Below are 22,651 nucleotides of genomic sequence, written 5' to 3' on the forward strand. Positions count from 1 at the left end.
CAATACTATTCAGATTTTACCTCTGCATGGGCACCCATTTCGGTAAGAATCCATTCTGTGATATTATTTCAGAGGCGAAGGAAAGGCTACCCCTCCTTCAAAATAGCTTGGTCTTACATTGCACATTTAACTTAGAGCACAATGACTATCCCTTGTTCTCCAGTAATATAGTGGTTGAACTCCACCCTGGAGTCAGGATCCCTGAGTTTATAGTGAGTGTGAGTCAACACCAACTATAAAAGCTGACCTTTTCATCAGTGCTTTGTGGTCTTTATCTGTAATGTGAAAATTATAACACCAATGTTGCAAGATTTTCGAGAGAATTAAAAGATTATATGCACATGACCTTTAGCAACCATGATGCCTAGTAGGTAATAGGAGTTGAATAAAAGGTAATTACTATCATTAGGCATATTAACTGAGGCAGTGTATTGTTTGCTTATAAAGGTTCCGCATGCTCAGTGCTGCAGAATTTATATAGGCAGAGCCGTCGCAAGAAATGTTGGGAGGTGGTTTTTTTTGTTTTTGTTTTTGTTTTTTCTGACGGTCCTCTTATCTTCAAAACATCATGGCACTGCTGCCTGGATTTGCTGGTTTGAATAGGCCACATTTCAGCTATTCTTCTCATTGTCAGGTCATGGCAAATAATAAGTCTCACCTTTTCTTTCTGAAATTGCATTCCCGCTTCATTCATCTGAAGTTAATTCTTTTCTTTTTTGTATCATGCTTATTTTGCAAACATGAACAATCTTGTCACTACCGTGTATATGCAAATAAAGTGAAATGATAAATTGCTTAAGTGTCTCCGTTTTTCTATCTGTAGAATAGGGGTCATAATCCCTTCCTGTTGCACTTTTCCAGACAGTTGAGAAAATAAAAACACGTAATGTAGAGAAAAGAGCATCAGTATTCTCATAAATAGAAAATTAAGCCATTTAGACTATGTACAGGAAGTTTGATAAGTAGACTTCCAGAAAAGAAGTGGCAAAGTATTCTTTAATTGTTCATTCCCTAAGAAAAAGCTGTCTCTCTCAATCTTTTGATACCTCTGTCTTTCTTTCCCTCTCTGTCTACCCGCCTCTGTTCTGTGTGCCTAGATCCTGTTAATATTTTCTCTCCTCTACTATTTTCATGTCTGCATGTAATTTTTTTTCATATCTAGCCAAGTGCCAAAATAACATTATGTTTGATATATCAATTAATTTTTTAATTAAATCAATTAATGAGAACAGCTAGAGAAATGTAGATTTTAGTTCACATGAAACTGGAGGGTACTGGCTACGTTGTAATTAATATATTAATAGTTTGTCAGTCTTGGTCATTGTCTTGGTCAGAGGATGCCATAGGAAGCTAGATCAGTCCTGTAATTTCTTCCTATTTTTTTTTTTTAAATAAAGCCAATTATTTCCATATAAGCTAGGTATGCACTCCATACCTGTTTGATAAGATTGATTACATTAAACATTTCTCACAGGAAAATGAGTCTATATTTTATGTTTAATTTTAATTTTCACTTTGTAGAAACTAAGTTCAGTGTGCCGTGCTGATCCAGTGAAAGCATGTGCAGTAATTTCATTGTAACCAGTTTTCACTTTAGATAGTGGCCAGGAGATGTTTGAACCGGGTTATGAGTTTGTGAGGTTTTGAGCATGGTTCTTCCTTCTTTCCCTAGGCTGGATAGAGTACTATAGCAGGGTATTGGATGGTTTCCCAAAGCAGGATAACTTCCAGGGAGGAAGCATCACAGATGTCTGAAGTTCAGTGGTATAATGCACTTTTATTACTCCTCTGTTCCTGGCCTACAAATCTGCAGAAAAGACATATGAGGGCATCAATACTCTCCAAGAAATAGCATCTTTTTTTTACACCCCCTTTTTTTTTTTTCTTTTTTGAGATGGAGTCTCACTCTGTCACCCAGGCTGGAGTGCAGTGGTATGATCTCGGCTCACTGCAACCTCCGTCTCCTGGGTTCAAGCGATTCTCCTGCCTCAGCCTCCCGAGTAGCTGGGATTACAGGTGTGTGCCACCACACCCGGTTAATTTGTTATTTTTAGGAGAGATGGGGTTTTGCCATGTTGACCAGGCTTGTCTCAAACTGCTGACCTCAGGTGATCTGCCCGCCTTGGCCTTCCAAAGTGCTGGGATTACAGGTGTGAGTCAACACGCCTGGCCGAAAATAGCATCTTCATCCACTTTTATCTAAGCTTAACATCTATTCTGTTTATGGTGTTGTCAGAGATTTGGGGAACTGGGATAATGAGTTTGTCCATTTCAACTGTTGATTATTTTACTAATGGCTATGAAAGTGCTATGATGTTCAGAGCAGGTCTTTTCACATTTGATGGATAATTTTGGGAGCAGGGAAGATAGACCTTATTTCCTTGCTTAGAGTTTCATTTCAAAACATGGATTTTAGATATAGGACTGCCAGTTTAGCAAAATAAAAATATGAGACATGCAGTTAAGTCTGAATTTTAGCTAGACAATAAATAATTTTAGAATATTAGTATGTCCAATATGTCATATTGTTTTTACTGCTTATTGGAAATTCAATTTTGACTATACATCTTCTATTTTTATTTGGCAACTTTATTTAGATAGTATTTTCCATAATGAAGTGTCTTACTCCTGTTTCTCCATATATTTCCACTCACAGTAAGTAAAGGAATAGAAACTAACGAATAAAATTCATGTATGAAATATCAGGGGAAAAATACAAAATTAAAATAATTTATATTAAATTAATAGAAAATCAAAGAAAATGCCCTTTTTCTAAATGCCAGAATCATATAAAATTTGTATTAGGCTATGTTTATTTTATATGATTAAACAAAATGGTTTAGCAAATGGCATTTAATAAACAAAAGCCAGTTTATAACATTAGCATAAACTTCAGAGGATTAAAAATTTGTTACAGTGTCTAAGCCATATTTCTGGTGGGTTTCTGTGATATTCTATGTGGTCTTTGCATTAGTTACTACAGAGTATTTTTCGGTGCAAGTTCTGGAGGGAAAGTTTTCTAAGAAATGAACATTCCCATTAAAGGAATTTCACTCTTCAATTAATAGAAAGCATCATTTGTTTTTCACATGATCTGTTGCTATCGGTTCCTTTAAAATGTTTGTTAGCTTTTTAAACATCTGTTGCTGTAAGAAGATAAATCTTACACACATTACTTGTGCTGTGTGTTTGCCCCAGAGTCAAGTCAATGTTTTACATGGCGCCTAGAGATCTGTGATAACAGCTCACTGGCTGTGTTCCTGCACGTCATAATCTAACCCTTTCCCGTATCCTGATCTCTTCCTTCCTGACCATCCTCACCATCCTCAGCTCAGTGGCTCTCCCCATTTCCTGTTTTGCTCAGACCCTCACCAGAGCCAAGCTCTCCAGCCAGGTCTTCTCCCTACATTCATCAGCCACCGCCCTCCGTCCGCCCGGCTGCGGCAATTCTGTCCTACTTTTGCAGCCTGAACCCTGAGCAGAGAATAACAAACCTGGAAACTTTCATAGTGTCACCCAAAGTCACACCGCACACACATGTGCTTGGCCACGTATTCACACATAATGATTTTTTTTTAATTTAATGAGGGAATTGTTATGTAAATTTGGCACCATTTCTTTTTGTTTTATATGGATGGACATGAGCACTTAAAGATTAAGAGGTTATTTTCGGCCGGTCGCGGTGGCTCACACCTATAATCCCAGCACTTTGGCAGGCCAAGGCAGGTGGATCACCTGAGGTCAGGGGTTCGAGACCACCGTGGCCAACATGGTGAAACCTCATCTCTACTAAAAATACCAAAAATTAGCCGGGCTTAGTGGCAGACACCTATAATCCCAGCTACTCAGGAGGCTGAGACAGGAGAATCGCTTGAACCCGGGAGGCAGAGGTTGCAGTGAACCGAGATCGCGCCACTGCACTCCAGCCTGGTCAACAAGAGTGAAACTCCTTCTCAAAAACAAAAAACAAACAAACAAAAAAACCCAAAGAGGTTATTTTCAAACTTGCATAGTCACACGTCAAGGCAGGAACCCAAGCCCTGCCATCAAATCAAAGTTTTGAGATTTAAGTTCTTCCTCTGTAATACAGGATCGTATGGTCCCAGAGTTAAAATAGAACTTAAAATACCTAGCTGAAGTGCTTATAGTTATCAGAAAATGTTTGTTTCTTCCCTGCAATTTTCACTAAAGTGAAGAAGACGTGTGAGAGACAATTTGTGAGACCTAATTCTGGTTGAGGCTAAGAATTCCATTCGTTTTCCAGTCACTGACAAATTTATTTAACTCTTTTGCTTTTGGACATGTTTCTTTGTCACACAAGGTTGTTCTGTGATTATATGTTTCTATAATCTTTTCAGTTTAAAATTTGACTTAATAATTAGCATATAGCAAGTCAAGAATTTTTTTTTTTTGCAAGTCAACAATTTTCAAATGAATAAATGCATGAGTAAATGGTGGTATCCCTTGCTTTACTACAAATAATACAAAATATTTTGCAATTGTTTAATGACACATTTGAGAGTGACATAGGTATTTTATTGTTTCTGTGGATTTTTGTTTGTTTGTTTTTCTAGATGGAGTCTCGCTCTGCCGCCCAGGCTGGAGTGCAGTGGCGCTATCTCAGCTCACTGCAGGCCCCGCCTCCCGGGTTCACGCCATTCTCCTGCCTCAGCCTCCTGAGTAGCTGGGACTACATGCGCCCGCCACCACGCCTGGCTAATTTTTTGTATTGGTAGAGACGGGGTTTCACCGTTCTGTGGGTATTTTAAAGTAAACTCTAGGACATTTTTAAGTAGTTGGATTTTTAAAAATTGTCCCACATACTAAGTTACATTTTTTACACAGTTGCAGCACAGTACTTACCTTTGATCCTCGTTTGAGCCTCTGGCTTTCTTTAGCCTGCTTAAGCTCTGTCCTCTCTCTCTTTACTCTTCTATTCAAAGAGTAGTATGTATTTTGTAAAGATTTTGTAATCTTGCCTACTAATAAAGTTTACATTCCTCAGCAGGAGAGTAAGGAACTTTACAATCTGCTTCCAATGCACCAACATAAACTCGTATCAGGCTGTCTCTTCATCTCCTGTGTCCACCATTTCCCAGCCCCTACGTGTACACCACTACTTTATATTTCACTCACACTGGGGCTCCATGCACCAACGTAGCACATGAGCAGTGGTGTGTAGCAGAAGGCAAGAAAGTCCATAAGCGTAGGCTTTGGAATGAGGCAATCAGAGCTCAAATGTAGCTGTAGCTGTATCATTTTGTAGCTACACGGCTATCTCTGTCTCCATCAACCTCACTTGTTTTACCTATGACTAAAATAATATGCCGGGCACGGTGGCTCACGCCTGTAGTCCCAGCACTTTGGGAGGCCGAGGAGGGCAGATCACAAGGTCAGGAGATCGGGATCATCCTGGCTAACACGGTGAAACCCCATCTTTACTAAAAATACAAAAAATTAGCCGGGCGCGGTGGCGGGCGCCTGAAGTCCCAGCTACTCGGGAGGCTGAGGCAGGAGAATGGCGTGAACCTGGGAGGCGGAGCTTGCAGTGAGCCGAGATCGCGCCACTGCACTCCAGCCTGGGCGACAGAGCGAGACTCCGTCTCAAAAAAAAAAAAAAAAAAAAAAAAAAAAAAAAAGATAATAACACAGTATAGAGCTCCTATAGGATTAAATGATATAACATAATTTAAATTATGTTATGAAGTGTTTGGTACAGGGAAGGCAATAAGTGTAAGCTATTGTGATACAATAAAGATGGACATGAAAGTTTTTGCTTATTTTGGTTATTCTGTCTAAAAAGGTTTGAATTACTTTTATTTGTGGCAAAATTGCATAATCTTTGAGATCTGCTAACCTTTATATTCACATTAAAATGTAATTAATAATGATTATGTTGCATGCCACTCTCTTATTTCTTAGTTGACATTGTATCTTTTCCTAGTCTGACTTTTCTCCAGATTAACACTTTAAAAAAAGTCATACGCAATCAGAGTAAAGGGAATTTGTCAGTCATTTACTCCAATATCCTCATCTAATAATTAACAAAACTGAAGTTCAAACTCGTTGATAACTAACATATTTTTGTGAGATTGTTGTATAATGTCTGCCTTCGTAGTAGCCTGTGAATTTCCAAAAAGTAGAAAACCACGTCTGTGTGAATGGCTTAGTATCAACAATGATTGATATAGGGTGAACTCTCAGTGATGAATATTTCTGGAATAAGAGAATGTTGTGGAACTACTTCTGGCCAGACTTCTTAATTGTAGGCTGGTGCTTTTTGTGTTATACTATGTTTCTTTTCACTCAAACCTCATCTTGTTTTGCAGATTCACTTATTAAAAATCTCTCCTGAAAGTTTTTGTATATCCTGGAGTGGCCCACATAAAACTGATCGTTATGAGATCCAGGAACTCTCCTGGTTGTATAATGTGATCACCTGCTTTTGGAGGTCTAATGATGCATACCCCCAGAGACAGACCAAGGAAAAAGTAAAGCTGAAGCAATAACTTATTTATTTACTTACTTACTTACTTACTTTTTCCTGGCTAAGATGATCTAGACATGTGGATCTTCTATCCTTGGCATCAAATTTGGTGCTCCTTTCTTGTGTCTAACAATTAATTGCTTCAACCTTAATTTCACAGTAGTACCAATTTTGTGTTAACCTTGGCTGTCTGCAGACTACTTTCATTCTTGTTGCTTATTTCTACTCTTTAGTAACCCGGAGAGAAGCAGAAAAGTTTATAGGACTTGTGTTCTATAAATGAGGGAACTAAGGCTTTGTCTGAATTCAGATACCCTCTCTGCCATCATACTGTTTTTACGTTGTGCAGTTTTGCCTCCCTTCACTGGGTTGGGGCTGCCTTAGAACTATGGTTGAGCTAAGGATGAGGTGGCCTCCACCTGTAATCCCGGCACTTTGGGAGGCCAAGGAATGTGGATAGCTTGAGGTCAGGAGTTCGAGACCAGCATAGGCAACATCGTGAAACCCTGTCTCTACTAAAAATACAAAAACTAGCTGGGTGTGATGGTGCATGCCTATAGTCCCACCTACTTGAGAGACTGAGGCAGGAGAAGTGCTTGAATCTGGGAGGCAGAGGTTGCAATGAGCCAAGACTGTGCCACTGTACTCCAGCCTGGGCGACAGAACAAGACTCTGTCTTAAAAAAAAAAAAAAAAAAAAAAAAAAGGAAACTGGGCCTCAGTTTGGTCATCTGGAAAATGAGCCAGATGGTCTCTAAGGTTCTTACCATTAATAAGTCTCTTCCAAAAATACAAAAAAATTAGCTGGGCATGGTGCCACACACCTGTGGTCCTAGCTACTCTGGAGGCTGAGGTGGGAGGATTGCTTGAGCCCAGGAAGCAGGTGTTGTAGTGAGCCAAGATCATGCCACTGCATTCCAGCCTGGACAACACAGCAAGACTCTGTCTTAAAAATAAATAAATAAATAACTATGGCTGAGATATTTTACCACAGTGAAAGAAATCTAACCATTCTCCCCGTAAGTTCTAGCAAAGTTCCTAGAGCAGCCTTGGGCTATAGGACCACTGAATTCCCATGCTAAAGTCCCCCCCCACACCACCCCCCATGGAGTCCTGAAGTTAAACAGCTGGCTAGTTCAAATTGTGGTTTAGGGCTGCAAGGTCTGTGTTTAGTAATTAGCACTTGAACCTAGCAATAACCTTCAATGAGTCTCTCATTTTCCTGCTCTGGGGAGAGAAAAAATCAACAAATACAGACTAAGTGTGCTCTAGTGTCAGATGGTCAGAGTCTGGATCACTTGTTGGATGTATGGAACTAAACAAGTTCTTTCATTTCTTTGTACTTCAGATGCCTCATCTGCAAAGCAGTGTCAATCTCAAAGTTTCTTGGAAAGGGTAAATGAAATTATAAATGTAATAGCACGGGGCCTGACTCATAGGAGTGCTCCGTAAATATTAGCTCCTAATCATTATTATTATTCAGTACTTGGCAAAAATCAAGTTACAGTTTCATCTAATCTGAGTTGATCACATGCATATTTTTCTTTATTTAAAAAAAATTTCTTTACAAACATGAAATAAATGGGGTGGAATTTACTTTCTTCATTTATAACTAGATGATTTCAATTAATTTGATTTTCAGCAAAAGCATCTTTATCAGTTTTGACCATGTTGGAAACTGAACACAGCCCATCTGGCATTATTGGCACCACATTGGAAATGTATATAATCTTATGGTGAAAGTACAATTACAAGTGTAATTCTGTCTTGACGTTTGCTTGAAATTCATCTCTTTTGGGTTATATGTTAATAATGAGGGCGGAAATTTGCTGTGAGCATTTACATTTGATCTAGACACAGGCTAATATTGTTTGCCTGCAATATATTTAACATTCCAAAACTGCTTTCTGATTTATCTTATGTATCTTAAAACTTACAGCTATTAATTCTTCTCATTTTTCCACTAAAGCTAGCATACCACAAAGCAAAATATGAATATATTCTATAAGTTGTAGAATTTCTTAAGATTTATCTCTACCATTGGATGAGGCATCATAGGCCCTTTTCCTCAAGGAAGTGGAAAATATTCTGTGCCAGTAGTTGTCAGTAAAAGAGGATATCTGTCCCTAAAGTTTATTTCATATGAATATTAATATTCCTTATATGGCCATCATTTTCAGTGTTTCATTTTCCAAATGCACTTTCTAAAAACATGTTAAATTATGGTCCATTACTAACCACTAATGGATGATTTTATGACTGAATTCTGCACCAAAAATGATTATTTGCTGTGTGAGGACAGATTTGCAAAACAAGATGTGGTAGCATTTAAACGGCCACTTATTTTTAGTAGAAGACTGCCCTGACTGTGGCCTAAAACTTAGATTTCCATTTCATGGCATCATTATCTTCAGACCCAGATGGGCGTCTCTTGCACTTAAGGAGCATGAGGAAAACCAATTTGATTAAAATAAGCTGTTTCGTATCATTAGGAAATTTGGAGATGGAAAAATAAAGATTTGTGTAATAAATGTATGATCTGAAGCCACGTTCATCCTCCAAGGTAATTAGCAATTCTGTATTTGCAGGAACCAGGAAGGCAACAGATTTTTCTTCAGGATGCTCTTTTTGTGGAAAATTGTGGGTATAATACTTGATGGGTCAAACTGAACAAAGTGAACTATTTGATTTATGGTGTGAATATTATGAGAATTATTCTGTAGTTCATTTCTTCCCATCAATTCATGAAATCAATCTTTTAAGCTTATTTTGCAATCAAAATTCCTAAAAAAAAAACCTAAGGATCTTATCTTATAATAACATCACAATTCTTTCTATATTATTTTCATTCAATATACTGCATATCTAGATCCATTAAAGTAATTTTAAAAATTTCTTCTATTGATATGGCTACAGTCTATTTCAAATATTGGCACCTGAAGATAATTGTGAAGTCAGCAATGATTCAGCAAAACAGAATTTAAATAGTGCTGAAAGCATAAATAGTACCCAAGGAGATGTGGGTCTTTTCTAAAAAAATTTAAGATCTAGGATTTACCCATACTTAAATAAACTTTAAGTATTTATTTTTTAACTAATCTCCACTCAAAGCTCCTTCAAACGCTGTTTCCATGTTGTTTACAGTGTAAATGAATAGGATAATGAAAATAACTATTAAATAAAATAGAGGTTAAGTGACCTGCCTGCAGCCACAGAGTTAGTTCATGGCTATGCCAAGAATCAAACTTAGATTTTCTGGTTTGCCCATGTTCTTTTAACTGCTTTTTTTGATGAAGTCAAGGCTTTGAGATAACTGACCTCAATACATAGTTCAGTATCTCCGTTTGTCAGCACAAAATACACTTCATGCTATTGTGGTGTTTAGATAAAATATACAAAATATAAATGCTAATGAGATGCCCAATATGTGATGATGAATCGCAAAAAGCAATATAATGTGACAAATATTTATTAAATAGCTAATTCTGTCAATATAAATATTTCTGAGGAGAGTATTCTTTTCACCTTCAGAAAGCCGTATAATACCAACAATTTATGAGGGGTGAAACCAATCAATGGTAAAATACTTTCGGATTTTTAAAAACTAATTTAGTAATTGGCAATATATTCAGGAACATTATTAAGTTGGTTTTTTTGCATCACAAAGATTGAATTCTGCTATTTCTGTTGATAGAACATGTACTAAATGATAACACTGATTAATAAGGGTAAGTTAGGTAATTTTTAGAAGTGCGGTTCCAGGAAGAAAACTTCCTAAATGATGGAAGAAAAAAATAAGTTAACTTAGATATTTTTCTGTACAATTTAGAAACAGACGAACCACAGATTACAAAGCATGACTTCATGATCTCTGGAACAAGGCTATGACATGAGGAATTTAAGAAGCTCCCCTTACATACATTGTATCAGACTCTTGCCCCTCCCTCCAGGACCTTGTGCTGCCTGTTCCATTGCCTGAAATATTTATGTGACCCAAAGAAGACTGGGTCTTAGATGTTAGATTCTCCAAGAATCCTCCCCAGACTCCCGGTGTCTGTGGGAAGGATGGTCCAGTGCGCCCCTTAGAGTCTGTACTTTGTCAGCCTTTGTCACAATATAATCAGCACATCGAATGCTGTGGGCTGTTTACCTGGCGTCATTTCGCTGGAGAGACAACTTCCCAAGAACAGGAACTGAGTGTCCAGTGGTCTAGCTGTGTTTCACCCATAGTAAGTGATCAACTCTGATTGAATGAAGGGATACTCAAGTTAACTAGTCCCTGTGCAAGTCCCTATAGCGTAGAGTCACAGGCTCTCTTTTGAAGCTCTTTACTACACTTTATTTCACTCAGATGACAGGCAAGGAAACTGAGACTCAGGCAGGCTAAGAGATCACACACCATAAATGGCAGAGTGAGGAAATCAAGCCCATTCTCTTTCCTTGCTTATTCTTTCATTCAACACATTTATGCTGAGCATCCTCTATGTGTCAGACATTATGTCAAAGCTGAGAATCCAAAGATAAATAGGTTAAGATTTCCTGAAGCTCCCTGCCTAGTCAGAGATAGACTATAAACAGTAATTATAATTCAATATGATAAGGGCTTTGACAGAACCATGTACTCTGTGCTGTAGAATTTCTAAAGAAGGAATCAGTGTCTGTGCATATTAAATCGCTCCATTTTATTTTAATATTCTTTTAATACTCTTTTATGTCTGACTTTAGTATATAACTACCCTCATTTAGAAGAAGGTAGGCAAAGGCCTATTCAATTTAATGAAAGTTTAAATATTGCAATGTTATTTCTAAACTAATTAGTTTTCATGATTGTTCATATTGTACATTAATTTGAATATCAAACAGAAGTCTAATAGTTTTAAGTGGATTGCTTAGAAAAATTAGTATTGTCATTTATATAACTTGGAATCCAAAGAAGATTCTCTGAAGAGAATGATCATAAGCACATTACCAGAGTAGATGAGTGAAGAACTGGGGTAGGAGTACACTATGGCATGGAGATGGCTTAGGGTGAATCAGGAACTAGCAACACCCTTCGATAAAGCAGCTGTGTGCCTGAGTTTTGATCAGAAGTTCATCTGCTGTTGTTAAAGATCTTTTAAAGAATAACTGGATGAATAGTTATTTTACTTCTCATAGTTGCCTGGATTAATAGATTTATTTTACTTCTCATAGTTTTTAAATTATTCTTCAGACAAAAGAAAATAGCCATGGCAGATTATGGCATTTAATAATGGTAATTCAAAATATTTTATCAAATGAATTTAAAAAAAAGTAAATGTCAATAGGCAACATCAGTTTATTTCCATTTCTTAATAATCACCAAGCTATTCAAACCGAGAGCAATGAGAAGCTCATAAAAAACAAGCCATGAACCTACCAGGAAATTCGAGGGAGGGGATCTCCCTTTATCAATCTGTGTATCTCCAGTGCTAAGCACGATGGCTTATCTCATATGTGGTTGAAAGGCTTCAACCACAACAAGAAGACTCCCAACTGAAGACTTTTTTTTTTTTTTTTTTTTTTTTTTGGGATGGAGTCTCTGTCGCCTGGGCTGGAGTGCAGTGGCATGATCTCGGCTCACTGTAACCTCCAGCTCCCAGGTTCATGCGATTCTCCTGCCTCAGCCTCCCGAGTAGCTGGGATTACCATGCCCAGCTAATTTTTGTATTTTCAATAGAGACCGGGTTTGGCCATGCTGGCCAGACTGGTCTCTAACTCCTGACCTCAAGTGATCCACCCCCCTCGGCCTCCCAAAGTGCTGGGATTATAGGCATGAGCCAACACGCCCGGCCTAAAACTTCGTTCTTTAAAAATAAGTAAACAAACCAAAAATTGAATAGACATAAACCAAATAAGGATAAAAGAAAACTCTGCTTTAAAAGCCTAATTCCAAAAACCTATGAGCTGCAAGTCATCAGTGATTAAAAGCTAGGAGGCACACTGGATGTTTAAAAGTAGTACCTGTGCCCTTCTAAAGCAGCCAAACCAGTGAAAATGGGTAGAAGCCAATAAGGGGGCATTCACCCCTTTCAAGCATCTAAGGAATGCACATTCAACACATTCCAAGCACACCTCCCCCGCTGCAGGCTGCTCAGGCCAGTGGCCTTCCACCTCTAGCCACATTGCACAAAAATTAATAGGAAAACAAAAGAGATGCCTTTCTGGATTTGTCACATTGCTTCACACTGGTGCCCCTTTCTCTTGTAATCAGGATAAAGAAAGTCTCTGCCGGGCGGGGTGGCTCGCGCCTGTAATCCCAGCACTTGGGAGGCCAAGGCCGGTGGATCACCGGAGGCCAGGAGTTCAAGACCAGCCTGACCAACATGGCGAAACCCTGTCTCTACTGAAAACACAAAATTAACTGGGCGTGGTGGTGCATGCCTGTAATCCCAGCTACTCAGGAGGCTGGGGCAGGAGAATCACATGAACCTGGGAGCTGGAGGTTGCAGTGAGCAGAGATCACACCACTGTACTCCAGCTTGGGCAACAAGAGCAAAACTCCGTCTCAAAAAACAAACAAACAAACAAACAAAACATTGCAGCCCCATTGTGAAAAGCAGGAATGTGTGAACCCAAAAGTTCTGACAAAGGAAGTGGACGGGGCAGCAGGCATAGATGAGGTAGCCCGTGTAGAAAAACTCCAGAATTTGCTAGGTATTTTTTTTCTTCTGGTCACTATTTAGAATTCTTTGCTTAAACTCCCACTTCCAACTTATTGTATATATATTGTCAGCTCAAGAATGGAGAAGAAGGTGTTTAACTCTAGATTAGACTACCCAACCTGTGGTTTAGTAGGGTAAATAGAGTTCATAAACAAAAAGCCCTGTCCTTACCAGTGTTCATCAACCACCTGCTTGGACTAATTGTACTATGTCACTCGTTTTTACTATACAGATATCTGTGGATATCTCTCCAGAACTTCATGTATATGTAAGTGACTTGCTCCCAATTCTTTCACATTTTATCAATATCAGCTGTGTTTTGCTTAAAAAATGAGCCTTACCTAACTAAAATTTCTACTGTAATAAAGCAAGTTAATTGTAGTGAAATCTAATTATCTGTTTACTATGATTTCATTATAAATCTTGTGGGTTTTTTTTTCTTACATTGTCCTTATGTATTAGCACCTGTGGTAAGATATATTGATCACAGTTTCATCAGATAGGCATACTGCTTCAATATTGTTTGAAAAAAATCTTTATCTTTCAGCTTCATATTCTAGGAGGAACCAAATGTAACATTTACTTTTCATTTTGATTGCATATTAACTTGAGGTCATAATCTTGCTTTAACAATCCATCTCTTCTAATTATAGATATAGGAGGTATGGAAGTATGTGTTTGCCACAGAACAAACCCTGGATATATTTCCATCTTGCTTATAAAACTTGTCTTTATGTAAATGTTTAAATAAGATATTTTAGGATAAATGGTTTTTATCATTGCCTATTATGTCATTTTCTATTAAAAGTGAATTTTATACTTAATTGACTCTGATTCTTAAGGCATTAAATTCTAGTCCATTCTTCTTATGAGATAGGGTTAGTAAAATAAGTTAGTTTTATGGGATCAAAAGCTACAAACAGGCTGGGCATGCTGGCTCATACCTGTAATGCCTGCACTTTGGGAGACTAAGGCAGGAGGATCGCTTGAGGCTAGAAGTTTGAGACCAGCCAGTGCAATATAGCAAGACCCCTGTCTCTATAAAGAAAAAAAATCAAGTAAAAATATCTAGAAATATACTTTCCCCAAAATGTGTATATTTCCTTATGCCATTCTGCCAATTAAAAATTGTCAGTTCCTGGATGTTACTTGGATGGTGTTTTCCTAATACTAAAGCTACTTATTCTAGGCATTTGTGAGTTTTATCATTCTCAGGAAGAATAAATTAACTCAAGTGTCTTGCCTTTACTAATAATCTATAGAAGATATAATACATTACAAAACGAGATCTTCAAAGGCAATTTATCTATGTCTGTGGGTCAGCGGAGAGACATCAAGAGTTAGGAGGGAGTGTACCTGTAACATTCTGAATAAGATTTTGATGTTAAAACCAATGTGGCTTGTTAGTCCGATATGTCCCCTCTATGCCACTAAAGATGGTGCCTACTCCTTACCACTCATACTTGCCATATTCTTTACCCATTTTTACTTGACTTTGTACCCCAAAGTTCCTCTTGTGGGCTATGTGTGGAATGTGATGGCTTTTAAAAACATAAATTGGGGAACAAGTGTGAAAATAAATATATGGACAACATTTTAAATATTCTAAATATTATAATTTAAACATCAAAAGAGTTATTGTATATGTTCAAGATTGAAAGTTAAAAAGTGAATATAAAATTCTAAATAATAATAACTATTTCAACATGAACCTAAAACTGTGCCTGTTGAACAGTGCATAGAATATTAAATAGAATTAGTAAAGAGTTACTTGAGTAGTGAATTACATCCTGCATTGTCAGCCTATGATATCTATGTCCATATATTTTGTAGCCTAGATTCATAAAATGTATATTTTTTAAAATCTTAACACTTTTCATCAAATGGAATGATTTGTTTTTAATTTGATTATGGATCAATTTTTAATTTGATTCTAGAGCCTACTTAATCATTGCTTTAGGTTCTTAAATTTCTTTTATAGAACATAGGTGAGCAGATTTTTAGGGTTTCCTTTTAGATGGTTCTGAGGTTTCTGTCCATGTTCAATACTATGAGTTTATAACTTTACAATATTCTTTTGTCACTTGCCTAAAAGCAGGTTTGTTATTTTTCTTTTTCTCAAGGAAAGCTTTAGAGAGAGAATCTAGATCTTTTAAATTTGAAAGGCATTCATGATACCCAGTTACTTCCTCTAATGATTGACTACTGTTGTGAAACCTAATGTTAATATTTAAGAAGTGGAAAATTATGGATTGTATTGTAAAATAGTCAATTAAAAGAAAAGTATTTTTGTGTGTGGGAATCTAGCAACTTTCATCCCATAATCCTTAAATCAAGTTTAATGTATACTAAAAATATCAAGTTTTACTTTGAACTATTAAGATTAATACAAGACTCCCATGTTTTTTCAGATTTTCCCAATCTTCAATGTTCTAAGGGATTTACTCTGAGACTACTTAAACCTTAACATTTTTGATGTTCTCATTTACTCACTGGCTGTTAAAATCTCAAACCTTGTGCATCAATACTAGGAGCTCTTACTTAAAATGATTAATTGTAATGTTTTCAACAGTGAGCACTAATGTTTTTCCTTGGGGGAAAAAAAATCTTCCTTATATGTTTATGTGGTTCTCTTGCCTCTGTAGTTGACTTAGATTAATTTCTTTGCTAATTTTCTTGTTCAGTTGGATAAAAGAAAGCTTCGGGCTTTGTATTTCTTGAAAACCAAGAAAAGTAAGTATTACACATAAGAAAATATCCAATTTTACCACTTCTTCCCTTGGGCAGTTGACCCGTGTGCACATGTGCATGCATAGCAATCTTTTGCAATGAACTCAGTTTATATATGAGATCTGTTTTTCAGTATTGTAGAAAGATATCTAATCTATTTGAAAATACATTGTCAGCACCTAGTGTTCCAAAACATAGATTGAATTTAGTGTGGGAATACCGCATAGTATTGGAAGAAAAGTAATTAAAATCATTTAGAAATTGTTTTGAAGAATGCATTGCTGCAAGGTGTCATAGCCATATAAACATGACACCACCATCTTATGGAATGTACAGAAAAGGGGTGTCTCTTGTGCCAAATAAACATTCTTTAATTAACGCTTCACAATATGTAGTGTGAACTTTCCTAGTCTGTGTTTATCCCTCCTGGGGCTGCTACTTTTAATGCCTCAAAAACTGTTGCCTGTATATATTCTCTTTCTGCTGGATCTTGGGATGAAGAATTGATTACAGGTGCATTTTCTCCTTGAATCTGTCTAATAAGCTGAACTAAAACTACACTAATACAAGAAAGCAACAAGAAAGGTCTTCTTATGATGAATTAGTTGTGCTTATATACATATAAGAGTTAGTGAGGGCCACAAGAATAAACTGGCACAATAAACTATTTGTATTTGAACACTACTATTTGTATTTTAATATAATAATTACTTTGAATTCCATAATTAATATACCTATACGTGAAACGTTTTCCGCTCAGCAAAGTCATAGACTTTGGGGGGAAAATGTTATTTTATTTTATTGTGAGGGTTTGAATAGGCATTTTGCTATTCATTATCTATTTGCAGGGAAATGACAAGTTTTCAAAATGAAACAGTCTTTGTTACCTGTCTCTTTTGAAAGACTTACTCTCATGTTGTTTATTTAATTGTTTTGTTGGCATTAATCTTGCTTTTTTTTAAATAATGCATATTCCTTTTAATTATGTCTACTTATTTAAATAAAACTTTTAAATTGTGAATAGCTATGAATCACCATATCCATATAACTAGAATATGAAAATCTTAAAAAATTAATGTGCTGATAATTATAATATTCCTGTTTCTTGCATTTGTTTTACATTAATACACATTCTGAAAAAGAGGAAATGCTTATCTTGGGAGTGGCTTAAGTTGTTTTGGGCACTTTTTCTCAGTGATAGTCATATATTTTGGAGCAGCCAAAATTCATATCTCTTTGCCAGTGTACAGACCCAAAATGTCAAGTTATTATGCACTAGTAGAAGGACATATTTTCTTCACACTTTATTAATTAATCTATTTCGTGAATTTTTCTTTTCAAATGTCTATCACTGTAATTATCTTTGCTTATACCAAATTCAGTTTCACTGGATTACTTAGAATGCTGATATTCAAATAGTTTTTTGAAGCTCAGATTTCAGGCTTTGTTCAGTTCTACTTACAGTATTTATTACGATTAATCATTATTCCACCTGCCTCTGAGCACCTTTTACCTAGTAGTAGCAGAGGTGAGTCCAGTCTCGTGCAGGAAGAACAAGGATGTGTTTGGCAGGTAAGCTGATTAGTGAGTCTACATCAAGTGATTGAGTCAACAGTTCATACCAACATAGCTAGAGCAATGCTTTTTGAACTATGGGCAGCTGTCCTTCCTCTTGATGCATGCCTCTTTAATCATTTCCAGCATTTTCTTTTCCATTTGTTATTTTCACCAGGGAAGAGAGAGCCTTATAATATTAGTCTGTTATGTTAGCTTTCCATAGATGTACACATTATTTAAATCATATGTAAATTAGATCCATCCTTCAATAAAAATTTTAAAACTAGTAAATCATCTCCTAATAATTTTTCAAAATTTAAATTACTGTTAATTTCAGATAAGGCTAATAGGCAATGGTTTTCTTGTTCTACAATACTCTTAACCTAGAACTAAGCCATGTTCTCTAATAACCAGATCTCAAGGTATATGAATTTTCTTTCATTATTGGAAACATGGTTAGAGTGACCTAAAGCTCCAACTTATTATTACATACATGGAACCCAATCTAGCTAGTTCTTTCTTATTTAAATTATCTTTCCTTAGAGCCCTTTCATTGTTCCTCTTGGGGAGGACTTAAAGGTTTTCTTGGTTCTAGTCACAATCAGAAAATATATAATGAATTTTTTACATATAAGGTGAAAGAAGTAGAGGTACATTATTGCTTGAAAACAAGGTGTAGCACATTTTTAAAAATTACTATGTTAAATAGAATCAGCATATGTAAACAGAACACCAGCTAAACTACCCCCACCTAAACTTTAAATGAAGACAACTGAGTAAAATGAGTAAGATGTTTTCTGACGTAATCACTGAAGTCTCAAAGGAAAACAGGACAGTCACAAAATTACCAGGTCTGATGAGTTAACTACTTAAAAGTGTGATTAAAAGCCAATGGAAATGATAGGAATGGCAGCAAAAAAGCATCCTGAATGTAGAAATAGAGGTACATTCAACTGGCCAACTGGAGTAGGATTTCTGTTATCCAAGGCTGCGTTAAGTGATTAAGAATGCACACTAGAAGGCATGGTTTTCACATTATCTCAACACATCTGCTCAGTGGATGAGTAGTGGATGATATGGAGGTTGTCTGGTAATCTTAAATGGAAGAGGATATAAGCCATGAAACAGGAGAGTGAGGAATGTGATAGAAATATGTTTGAACCTCACATGTTGTTAAGTTCTGAAGCCCTTAGGAATTTCATCTTTTAAAATTATTATTATGTTCCATTGTTATTTCTCCTCAAGAATAGACTGTGACTTTTCTTTCTTATCTTCATATTTTTAAAAATAGTCTCTAACACGTTTTGTACAAAATCTCTAAGGAAATTTTAGGGTTTCTTTAAATTCTTAACTCAGTATTTTTCAAGGCAAACCATTCCGAATAAAGGAACACAACATTTCTGACATATTTGAAGTATGTAAAAACTCTAAATTACGTGGATCCTAATGAATCATAGTTGCAGTTTAGGTAGCTATCCTAAAAATTAGGAAGGTCAAATACTACCTCTTTGTTTGGAAATTCCACCTCCGTGATTTGTTCATGATAGCCTTTTTGTGAGAAGGGTTTTGACTGTAAAGAATGAATGAATGAGTAAGCAGTTTTTATTAAACAAGCTCAACTTTGTTCTGTTGCTGCTGTCTCTTTGTTGTTGTAATGTATGCTTCTAATTCACGCAATACCAACATGTTTTCCCTCTCTTCAAGAAACAAGCTTTACTAAAATACTTTCACTTCTAAACAACGTGATACATATATTTGAAATTTTCTTTGAGTTAATAGAGGCCTACTTTAGAGTGTTGTCTAGAATATTGATAAAAATCTTTTTAAGTATCCTCAAAGCTGCCTGAACAGGGGATGAAGGGTAGTCAGAAATAGAAATATGCCTTCTATTTTCTCATACTATTTATTGAGTATTTTCTAAATAATAAAGGGGGAAAGAAGATATAAATATTATCCAAAAGAAATACGAAGGAGAAATGCTTGACGTGATGGATACCCTGTTTACCCTGATGTGATTACACAGTGCATGCCTATGTCAAAATATTTCCTGTAATCCATAAATATATATACCTACTATGTACCCATAAAAATTAAAAACTAAACAAATTTTTCCAAGGTATATGGGCGTATACTTTCACTTTACAGTTGTAGAAGTTGGATGCCTGAGGTTTGGATAAATTACTGCTTTCACAAGTCAGATTCCTTTAAAACTGGTTGGGGATTTTGAGAATGCATCCAATGTATCTGCTCCTGCTCTAGTGAAGAAGTCCTCGGCTGCTGCTACTCAGGACAAAATCATCATGGTGCATGGAAGAAACCAGTAAAAGGACCCGTAAATATTAGATTTTTCTGACTTGTTCACTTGCCTCTTCCTCCTTCCCATAAGTGTACTCTTTTTTTTAGGGTCTATGTGCAAGCAGTTTTTTTTAAATATAATCATAAAAGTTGCTTTTTCAAAGGAGTCTAAAATGCATTTCATATTTGTCATTGTTTTCTTTAAATCTAGAACTCTTTTGGAAGGGATATGTAACTTGAGATGGCATTGTTATAGTTTGGAAACTGTATTCATCTGCTTCTTCAACTCAAAATAACAGTGCCTTCAGATCCTGAAAACTTAACTACTTGTCTTTATTTATTTTTACCCCACTACAGCTTATGTACCGTAATCAATAGGAGTTCAGACTTTATCCTCGTTTTTGCTGCATTTCACATCTTCAAAAATCAACAACTCTGTCAAAGAATTCCAGACACATAAAGCCAAGTTTAAGAAATAGTCATGAATTGGGATTTTTTTTTCTCCATTTAACAAAATTTACTTTAAAAATAGCAGGGAAAATAACTCCAAATCAATCTGTTACAAGGAAATGTTATTTTATGTTTGTATGGCGCTTTTTGTTTTCAATGGTTTTAAAGTTGCAAAATTGATGTTCCATTCCACGGTGGTAGTGTAATGCATTTTCAAAGGAAGAAACCGAAGCCTTGAGGTGTTAAGTATCCTGTCTGTAGTTGCACAATGAACATGGCAGAGAGAAAATTAGAACTCAGTTTCTAAGTTTTGTTTTCTTTCATCTGTCTCTCTTTCACATATTAAATTCTCAAATTAGAAGTGTGATGTGCTTTCAAATTTAATTTAGACCCCTAAAAAATACTTTTTCTGTGATACATTTATGCTTACTTTTCTATAGTCTAAGTGATTATTTTCAAAAAGTTTAAAAAAGTAGTTAGAAATATGAATGACCCAGGAATGCAAAAAGAAGCCTCCAGACTGATAGATTTTATTCTGGTAAAACTAAAACGCTCCTGGAAGTTTTGTTATAAATTTTTTTCCAAGAACTGACTTTATTCCTCTGGAAATGACATCATGATGTATCACTAAGTGGTCTACTTTGTCATGAAACTTGAGACTACCACATGGGATAGAATATTTAAGTTCCTGAACTTCTTAATGACTTAAGTTTTCTTGAACATTAAGGTATTCAGTGACTACTCTCACAGGCTTACTAGATAATGAAAAGTCTAATCTTTAGCTGAATCTTCAGTCATATAATGTGTAGTCAGATAAGAAGTGAATAGACAACACAATAGTTAAGTAATGAGCCAATGGAAAAATGAATGAATGAAACTGACAAGCAAAGACTTGAATGAATTCATATTAGATATTATGGTTTTATGCTTGATACATTATAGAATTCAAATAAAAATGGAAAATATCTCTAGGATATCAATTATTCAGTTATGCCAAAGTTATTCAGCTGCTTTAAATCATTATAACCTTCTCACTTCTACAGTGTTATACAAAGGAGAGAATTCAAATAGAGGAAAAAGACACATGGAAAAAAGTATTCATTTTAACACTATACATTTGATCCCCAATATTTTTGGGGGGTGGGGGGGACGGAGTCTCACTCCGTTGCCCAGGCTGGAGTGCAGTGGCACTATCTCGGCTCACTGCAACCTCTGCCTCCCAGGTTCAAGCCATTCTCCTGCCTCAGCCTCCTGAGTAGCTGAGACTGCAGGATCGTGCCACCACACCCGGCTGATTTTTTGTATTTTTAGTAGAGACGGTGTTTCACCATGTTAGCCAGGATGGTCTCGATCTCCTGACCTCATGATCCACCCGCCTCGGCCTCCCAAAGTGCTGGGATTATGGGCGTGAGCCACTGTGCCTGGCCATGTTCCCAAATTTGAAGCCTTAGAGATTCTCAACATTTGCGAATTCGTTAAACAAATACATTCCTGAGATGAAATTTTTCACAGCTACTTAAAATATTGATTAGTCCAATAGTAACATAAAAGAAAGAACATGAGCTTTGAGATCAGAAAAACCTATATTTGCGTCCTCTGTCACTTGCAAAATGTTCCAAATATAAAGAAACTCCTGGAATCTGTGCGCACTGTTAGTTTCTTTGTAGAATCCTCTCTGACCTGACACAGACTACTTATCCTATGGTGTACTGAGATTTAACACTGTGCTTGCAGAGAGACCAATTTAATTTTGGGAGGTAATCTGACTGAAGACTTAAGAAAGGAATGAATGGAATCAGATAGGCCACAATCAAATTCTGGCCACTTACTAGTGGTAACACATTGGGTACATTACTTCTTTGAAGCTCAGATTTCTTGTCAATAAATTGCTAACAATTAAATACTGTTTACCCAGTGGATGATAAAATGCCATTATATGTACTAGCACCGAGCTAGGTATGGATTTGGTATTAACTACATAGTAATTGTTAGCATTGTTGTTGTGTGTCTTATGCTAATCTAAAACTTTTACTCAAAAAGATTTTAGTCGGTCATTTATGCCCAAAGTATTACTTCTTAGTACACCAAACACCCTGTCTGACCAAACCCCCAATCCAACTGCCTGGCCATTTTTCCTAGTAACATTCCTTGTATAAGCCAGCATTTTTGCAGTTCTAGTCATTTCCCCCAAACTGTGTGAATTCCCAGCCTGAGCCTTTCCTCCTGCTCAGCCCACAGACTATGTCTTTTCTCCCTCTTCTAGATTTTCCTGTTGAACAGTCCTTTTCCTTCAAGGTTTAACTCAAGTGGAGCTTCCTGCTGGAAGCCTTCTATAAAGCACTCAGTATTTACTGTCTTTTTCTCCTGTGCTTTTATAGCACTTTGCATTTGATAGAATGCTTCACACTTTCCATAGATCATAATTTCTATATCTGACTCTCTACCATATA

At 36.4% G+C, this 22,651-nt stretch overlaps 1 long non-coding RNA gene across 14 annotated transcripts in view, besides 1 other annotated feature; it reads left to right on the forward strand.

Moving 5' to 3' along the window:
- The window catches only part of MIR99AHG (mir-99a-let-7c cluster host gene), a 561,240-nt gene that overhangs the window by 480,885 nt on the left and 57,704 nt on the right, over positions 1-22,651 (forward strand). The gene's annotated exons all lie outside the window — the stretch shown is intronic.
- Positions 12,264-12,818: an enhancer, noted in NCBI's record as "H3K27ac-H3K4me1 hESC enhancer chr21:17935956-17936510 (GRCh37/hg19 assembly coordinates)". NCBI's record gives its function as "activates a minimal SCP1, AML or CMV promoter by ChIP-STARR-seq in primed H9 embryonic stem cells {active_cell/tissue: H9 hESC(primed)}" and the evidence as "EXISTENCE:reporter gene assay evidence [ECO:0000049][PMID:30033119]".

The sequence above is a fragment of the Homo sapiens genome, chromosome 21, assembly GCF_000001405.40.
Source record: "Homo sapiens chromosome 21, GRCh38.p14 Primary Assembly".
Classification (NCBI taxonomy): domain Eukaryota; kingdom Metazoa; phylum Chordata; class Mammalia; order Primates; family Hominidae; genus Homo; species Homo sapiens.